The sequence below is a fragment of the Homo sapiens genome, chromosome X, assembly GCF_000001405.40.
Source record: "Homo sapiens chromosome X, GRCh38.p14 Primary Assembly".
Taxonomy (NCBI): domain Eukaryota; kingdom Metazoa; phylum Chordata; class Mammalia; order Primates; family Hominidae; genus Homo; species Homo sapiens.
Window position 1 is genome coordinate 150,235,937 of NC_000023.11, and position 8,827 is coordinate 150,244,763.

An 8,827-nucleotide genomic window follows, 5' to 3' on the forward strand; every position below is an offset into this window, starting at 1 on the left:
TAGTGACTATGAGGAGCACTCTGGGGGTTTCTGGAGAGTGCTAGTTTTCTGTTTGGTGATCTGGGTTCTGGTTACAGTGTGCTCACATTGTGGAATTCATCAACTTGTATGTGCATGATCTGGGCACTTCCTTGCATATAACACTTCAATAAAACAATTTCCCAAATTGCAAAGAACACATGTACACACACACACACACACACACACACATCTAGAAACTAGCAAAGTCAGAGTCCCTGAGGTTGCCTTTCAATTGTTAACATCCAATATGGTGTCTCTTCTCCTTCCTTCCCTCCTCCAGCCCTCATTCATTTATGTAGCTAGTTGAGTTGTGGTTAGGCCAAAGTTTTAAATGTATCATTTTTCAGGACAAGCCAACTCCAGCATCTGAGAATGCCTAGGCTCCTTGCTCTATGCACCTTGACTCCTGGGGCCCGAATTGCACTTTGGCAGTGCAGTAGCCTGGCTGCATGAGGGTTGTGGAGGACACTTGAACAAAATCAGAAGTTTCATACTCATCTGCCTTGGCCTATTGATGGGCAGTGTGGGGGCAGGCATGGCTTTGTCATTACTGAGTGGGTGGCAGCTTGGGAGGGGAGACAGTTTTCCTTGATGAGTCAGTTGAGATACAAACAGGGCACTTGGTGTTGATGAAAATAAAAAGCCTTCTTCCCTGCCTGTTATAAAGGTTCAGCGGGTATGCTCCTTGATAAATGGTCACAGTAATGAAATTCACACTCTTTAATCACAAGGGCTATAACTTAATTAAAAACACATCGAGGATTGATTTGGGTTGGAGAGTTCTCCTGGTTCCTTGGCTTTATTAAATTCAGTGTTTCTTTGCTCGGCCTCATCTGACATGCTTATATACAGAAGTCGATGGCTGAGGAGCTGTCACTGTCCTAAAGGGATGAACCTAGCTTTGGGGCCCTGAGCAGACCAGGTTGAAGGGAGATAGGGGCCAGCGTACCCAAAAAGGGGGCCCAGACCTGCAGCCCTTCTGTGCTTTTGCCTGCAGCATCACCAGGCTGACTATAAGGAGTCCTCACTGTTCTGAGTTCAAGTTGGGGCTCTCCTTGAGCCAACTGACTCAGGTCTGTCAGGGGAGATCTGATGTTGGGGTAGCCTGGCTGGGAGAGAAGTCCCGGTGAGACCACCAGCACCACTGGGCACATAGCAGAAGCTCAGGAATTACTGGGTAATTGAAAAAAGCAGTAACAATAGCTTCCATTCATCTCATTGAGTGCCCACAGCTGACTTGTGAGATAGAAACTGTTGTTGTCCCCATTTTACATATGTGGAAAGCAAGGAAGAAGAATGTGGCGTTAAATGAATTACCCAGAGGGCTGTGGGATGTGAGGGCCTTGGCAGACACCATGCATGCATCACTCCTCCTCCACCCACACACACATAGATGTACTTCCATCATGTCTGCACCTGTGCAGATATACCCAGACACAGGCACACGGAGAGACATCCATCTGCACCAATAACATATGCAAACGTATTCCTATGCATACACAGCAGATATGCACACACATCCACATACTCGACTTTACTCCAAACACACGTGCATGCACATACACACACACACTCTGAAATATCTACACCTTCACACACCCAAATATACGTACATACACATTTGTAGCCATGTAGATACACCCGGATGCAGGCACACATCCACAGACCCATACCTATACACACTCCCCCAATGCCCTCCCTACAGCCACACTTGTGCAGTTACACCCACTCACAAACATACAATCAAATACCCATATACATCCACACCCCCCATTTACATACACAAACATCCTCACCTGTGCAGATGCACTCAGCTATGAACACACATCTACACACATGTACATATCTGCATCTGACACACTCATAGATGTACACCCATGAAGATATACCTGATATAGACACACATCCATATGCCCATACACATCCAAATCACATCATACATACACAGACACATAGATGTATCTCATCTGCACATCTACATCCACGCAGATACATCCAGATGTAAACACACATCTGCACATCCATGCACATATACATATACCTACACACACATACACATACATTCACATCTATGCAGACAACACCCAGACACAGACACAAATCCACACAACCATGTATACCTGCATCCCCCAAACACACACACACTCTCATATACATATACATACATACACCTAAACATATATGCACCTTTGCAGATGAACCTAGTTATAGATACAAATTCACACATCCGTTGATGTCCACACTTTCTGCATACAAATACACATATATCTATATACAGAGCTATGTATGTACCTACACACACATGAACATGCACATATATTTTATACACACAAACACACCCCCAGGCACGTATACCCATGTATACACATACATCCATATTCACACATGAACACACACATAAACACACCAACATGCACATAAATATACACACCCACACGAATATACATGCACACATAATATATGCACACGTACATGTGGATACACTCACAGATACACATATACATACATACACATGTGTACATGCAACATACACATATACATACACACAAATACATGGCATGTAGGAGTGTATGTGTACATATCCCAATGTTATATACACATAGTCGCACCTACACACCCAGACGCACATGCATACTGGACACCTATGTACACTCATGGACATGTACACACTCACACTCATTCATCCCAGAGGCCATCTGTCAAAGTCAAGCTCAATGAGCCCTTTCCAGAAATCAGTGCCTGAGGGACAGTCCTAAGGAGCCAGATCTAATTAGCATAATACGAATCTCCCCACCCACCTCAACCCTGGAAACCTTGCTGCCAGCACAGCCAGCCAGTTGGGGAACTCTCCTTGCTCTCTTGAGAAAGCAGTGAGGTCAGTGGCTCCCTCAGCTACACAGCCTACCTGCTGCACCAGTGCTGCCTCCTGCACCAGTGCGGCCTCCTGCAGGAGAACCCATGCCTCTGTTGTGGGGCCCTGCAAGGTTTCCTGGATCAAGGGCAGCAAATATTGTAAATCAGAAGGCAATGCAGGAGAGAACAATGGGGTTGCAGTCATACAGGGCCTGGTGGCCTTGCTAGGGAGCTGGGCCTTTGTGCTCAGGGCCACCAAAATGTTTGAAGAAGGGGAGCGACGTGGTCAGATTTGTGTTTGCAAAGGATTCCTCTGGCTGCCACGTGGACAATGGTGGGAGACATGCAGTTTGGAGGCAGAGGGTCCAGGGAGGAGATTGGCACAGCTATCCAGGGAGGAGCAGAGAGGGCTTAGGCCAGCGTGGGGGAGGGAGGTGGAGCAACCAACAGTGAGCTGGCTGAGAGTCTGGCCAGGACTAAGGCCACAGGTTGGATGGGGGCATGAGGGAGAGAGAAGGAGGGGCAAAACATGACATCCAGATTTCTGGGGTAGGGGACTGGCAGGGCTATAGAGATGGACAGGGACCAGACCAGGCAGGCTCCATGGGCCACAGGAGGGAACTAGGGCTTTATCTGGGGGCCATAAGAAGCTATTGAAAGGCTGGAAGCATAGGAAAAAAAATGTATTGTGCTTATGAGTATCAGGTTACTGGGAGGGGCCAGATGGATGATCTGGAAAGGCGAACAGGACCCTCAGGAACAATTTGCACCAGGTAGAGGGAGGCATGTGGCTATCAAACCAGAGCAGGCAGAGTTAGCCCCTGCCCAGCACCTCCAGGCAGTTCACCAGGACTGCACAGGTGAGGTTGTCCCTGTCAAACTCTGCCTGGAGGCCAGAAGTCCAAAACCAAAATGTCAGTGGGGGGAGTTCCTTCTGAGAGCTGTGAGAGAATCAGTTCCAGGCCTCTCTCCTACCCTCTCGCAGCTTCAAGTGTTTCTTTGCGTGGAGATGGCATTCTCCCTGTGTCTCCACATCATCTTCCCTCTATGTTTGCCTGTCTCTCTGTCTAAATGTCCCCTTTTTATGAAGACATCAGTCATATTAGATTAGGGCCCACCCTAATGGCCCATTTTAACTTGTTCATCTGCAAAGACTATTTTCAAATGAGGTCACATTCACAGGTTCTGGGGGTTAGAATTTTAAGATCTTTTGGGGGAACACAATTCCAATCATAATGTTCATCTAGGCTTAACTATGAGCAGGAGTTCACGGGACCCCTCCTGGGTCAGGGCAGCAGCTGTGGAAGGAAAGCAAACTACTCAGTGCAGGCTGGGCCTGGGCAAGACAGGATCCCAGGTCCTAGAACAATACTCTGCCTGGGGCAGACATTCATTCTAAGACCTGGGATACCAGTGAAGGGCAGGCCTCAGATAAGGAGAGAGAGCTGCCCCAGGAGAGTATGGAAGGGGCACAGAGGCTGTCCAAGGGTGCAGAGGCAGAAAGACTTAGTGTTAGTCACCCTGCCTGGACAAGAAGAGGTGCAGGCAGTGCCTAATTAGTGTACAGAGAGCCTTGGTCAAGCGCTGGGGAGCAGGGGCTCACTGTGCCCCAGGGTGGGGGACACAGCAGGAGCAAGGCCTGAAGCAGTGGCAGCAGCAGCACTGAGAGTGAGGCATGCAGAAGTATTTCTGACTTCCCAGCTCTGAAGCCTGAGAGATCCCTATTTCAGGGATCCAGGTACCTGGTCCCAGGTAATCTCAGTTATCTGACGCTCCCTCTCTGGGCCTTTTTCAGAAGGGACGTAGGGCACTTGTGCTAGGGATGGGCATTTGTAGGTCTGTGAGCTAAGGGATCCAACGGGTGGAAGCTCAAGTGGTACGGAAACTGAGGAGTGGAGCCCAACACGGATGGCATGTGGGAGCATGCATGCTTGTACATGACTGTGTGTGCCCATGTACACGTGTGTGAGCGGGTGTGCCTCTGGGTGCACTTGTCTGTGTGTGCATCATTGTTTACAGGGATTTCTTGTGCCTGTGCACATGGTGGGAGGGAGGCACAGGTGGTCAAACAAGGTTTGCCAGGGAAACTGCTACCTGAGCTGTAGCTAAGCTTGATTTAAACCTATCATAAAAGTATTAGGTGGCCTACTGTGTCACCCCTCAGCCACCATAATCCATCTCCACCTGTCCCAGGCCTCAGCACCCCATCTTCTACAGACACATCTTTTCTGTTGCAGCTAGCAAGGGGCCCGCTGGGTCCCCTGACCGCCTGTGCACGTGCAGTTGCTAAGCTTTCACAGGCCACATTTCAGTCAGGCACAGGCTAGAAGCTTACTTGTTATTTGTTTTATCACTCATAATCCAGAAACAATCTAGCTGCTAAACAGCACATGCTCATTTGGTAACTGAGGTTACCTGGGACCAACTGAGGCCTGGGGTCTAGGCTGGCTAGAAACTGCCAGCAATGGTGGGAACAGCTCTGATAGTGTGGGGCTTGCTTTCTCAGTAAAGAGGAAAACATCTGGGCACATGCCTGTCAGCCCAGGCCTGGATGCAGACAGACAGAGTCAGAAAGAGACAGAGACAGATACACAGGGAGAGAGGGCAAGAAGGAAAGTGAATTGGCATTAGTGAGTTTTTTGGATTTGGATCATGTGCTTTGCCTCTAGGTAAAAGTCCCTTACATGTTAGTGGTTAGGTGATAAATACTACAGGGGCTGAGAGACCACCCTTGGATTGAAGTCCCTTCTCAGCCAGGGGCCTCTCTCTAGTTGTGGGACCTGGCTGCACCTGTCTTCCCCCCATAAATGGGGATGTAAGAGCTGGGCTGTCCAGCTCCCTTGGCTGTTGGGAGGGCCAGATGCAATGCAGCCTGGAGAAGTGCTTTGGGAACTGCTGATCTCTGCCCAGATACAAGAGCATTTTATTGATTTTAAAGGAAATTGAGATTTTGGAAAAATAAGCATGAAGCCCAAAGAAGCAAATATTCACAACAGTAGCAATTAGCATCTATACCTGCAGTCTACACCCTGGCTCACCTGTGCCCAGGAGCGTGGCCCCTTATGCATCTTATATCTTCCAAGTAAATGAATCCTCAGGTACCATTTGCCTCAAACTTACTGTGTAGCCTGGAACCTCCTAAAGCAAGCTGGCTCCATTTTGAATTTCTGCCTTCAAAGTCCTTTAAAACCTCAGCAGTATTTCCCTTCTTCCAATGACAATTTAAAAGTCCCACCTGGGTGCGGTGGCTCACGCCTGTAATACCAGCACTTTGGGAGGCCCAGGTGGGTGGATCACCTGAGGTCGGGAGTTCGAGACCAGCCTGACCAACATGGAGAAACCCCGTCTCTACTAAAAATACAAAATTAGCTGGGCCTGGTGGCGCATGCCTGTAATCCCAGCTACTCGGGAGGCTGAGGCAGGAGAATCGCTTGAACCCGGGAGGTGGAGGTTGCGGTGAGCCAAGATCACACCATTGCACTCCAGCCTGGGCAACAAGAGTGAAACTCGGTCTCAGGAAAAAAAAAAAAAAAAAAAAAGGTCCTTTACATTGCTCAGAAGTCTGGAGGGAGGCAGCCATTCTGAGTGCTTATCCTATTGCCTATGCTGAATTTAGCACAATTATATACAAGATCGCTAACAAGCACGTGGCCTTCCTGCACCATTGCAAAGATCACATTGCTATCTCTATTTGAAAACATCTTATCACCCTTCAAACTGTTTATGTCTGATTGAAATGCTCCATGTGATTCTGCCTCTCTCTGTGTGTATATGCATGTATTTATGTGTGTGTTTATTACACACACAGACAGGCGGGAGAGGAAGAGATAGAGTTAGAGGTAGTTGTTCTGGTAGAAAGAATCATAATCCATCAGCAGGTAGAGCTCTCTTAGGCTGAAGCACTTTGGGAGTGTCTTTCAGGGTTCCACGCTTTTCTTCCACACCTTCCATCCATCCCCTATACTGGCATCAGAAGTGGTGAGGATGAAGCCTCATGCTCATAGGGAACCAGGCTAGGCTCCTGGTGGTGAGATTGGTGGATAAAAAGCCAAAGGTCAGGGTAGGGGAGTGATCTTCCCCCACCCCCAAACTGGCAGTCACAGATTCTGCCTTTTCTCTGCCCTTCCTCCAGGGAGTAGCACCCACACCCTTCCCTTTCCAATAGCCACTGGGAGACAGGCAGGAGGGAGGCTGATTGGCCCTTTTCCTTTATATCTCTGTGGCATATGTTCCACCTGGGACCCTTTCTCCCCCAGAGTCAGCATATATGAGTTGGATGTAAACATTTATATACAGGATTAGGCTTATTTTTAGAAATGTATTCTTAGAAAGGGATCAACTGTAAAGGACTATCACAGCCCTGCAGGGTTGAGGTCAATGGGTGAAGAGGCTCCCTAGCCCTTTCCTCTCCTTAATCGGGTTCCTTGAAGCAGAAGAAGACAGGAATGAAATGCAGAGAATAATAAGGGATGATAAGGCCAAAGGGTAAACAAAAAGAAGGAAGGCTTGACTTTCCATGGTCAGTAGCTTATCCCTATAAGGAGGTCCTGGGCAAGCCTGTCATCTGTGGGTTTCAGTTTGTCCATTTGTAACATGGGAGAGCTGGACTAGCTGGTCTCTAAGGATGGTTCTAGCTCTTAAATGCCTTGAATTGAAATATTGAGCAATTGGCAAGTGCCCAGGCCTCTGCTAGGCTATGCTGTTGGGGAAAAAAGGGACAAGGAGACAAAGCCTGTTCTCCTGTTGCTGGCAATCCAGTTAGGAGGCAAAAACAGACAATGGCCAGGAAAGCCATTGGTGCTAAACTGTGGGACTGCACCAGTGTAGTCAGACCATTAAGATGTATTAGTCAGTTCTCACACTATGGATAAAGACTTACCTGAGACTGGGTAACTTATGAAGAAAAAGAGGTTTAATGGATTCACAATTCCACATGGCTGGAGAGGCCTCACAATCATGGCAGAAGGCGAAGAGGGAGCAAAGGCATGTCTTACGTGGTGGCAGGCAAGAGAGTGTGTGCAGGGGAACTCCCCTTTATAAAACCATCAGCTCTCATGAGAGTTATTCACTATCACAAGGACAGGATTGGAGAAACCGCCCCCATGATTCAATCGTCTTCACCTGGTCCCTCCCACGACATGTGGGGATTATGGGAACAACAATTTAAGATGAGATTTGAGTGGGGACACAAAACCTAACCATATCGAAGGGTGTGCTTCGTGAGGTTAAACCTCATCAATTGCCCAGAAGAAGCTTAACTGGCTTGAGTAACAAGAGCAGTGGGAAGTTTCCCTGGGAGCTTTAGAATGAAAACAGAAGAGATATGGTGAATGGCCTAGACAACACTCATGTCAAAATTTAAATAGACCCATCTTTCCAAAAGAGCTGATCTCCTCATGCCCCAGGTCAACAACTTGAGTTGAAAGTAACCTTATGATCTAAGGTGAATGAAAATACAGGAGATGGCCTGATAGGCAGAAGGCAGGCAGCTAGACAGCCTAGAGAGTTCCCATTGGTCTCCCTTGGTAAAAGCCCTCTGTCTACCCCCTCAGTTTTTCCCCCAACCCCACCATCACATGTGCACAATAGCCCTACCAATTTCTTGATGCCTAGAACTTTTAAACGATAGAAAGATTTTCAGTCCATGGGGATATATTGTCTTAAAATAGTATTTCTCAAAGTGTGGTCACAGGGCTAGAATCATCATCATCTGGAGACTTGTTAGGAATGCCTACTCTCAGGCCCCACCCAAGACGTAATGAACCAGAAACTCTGGGGGCAGGTCCCAGCAATCTGTTTTTCACAAGCCTCTAAGAGATTCTAATGTATGAGAACCACTGACAAAGTATCTCTCCCTCAGAAGAGCCAAGATGATAACCAAAATATGGACTATAGTGTAAGAGGCTCTCAGACCTCTCCTGTGAGCATGGTGTTATGGAGGAGAAGTGTAGAT

General features: G+C 47.8%; 1 annotated feature.

The window, feature by feature from the left end:
* Positions 2,603 to 3,104: an enhancer, noted in NCBI's record as "H3K4me1 hESC enhancer chrX:149406763-149407264 (GRCh37/hg19 assembly coordinates)". NCBI's record gives its function as "activates a minimal SCP1, AML or CMV promoter by ChIP-STARR-seq in primed H9 embryonic stem cells {active_cell/tissue: H9 hESC(primed)}" and the evidence as "EXISTENCE:reporter gene assay evidence [ECO:0000049][PMID:30033119]".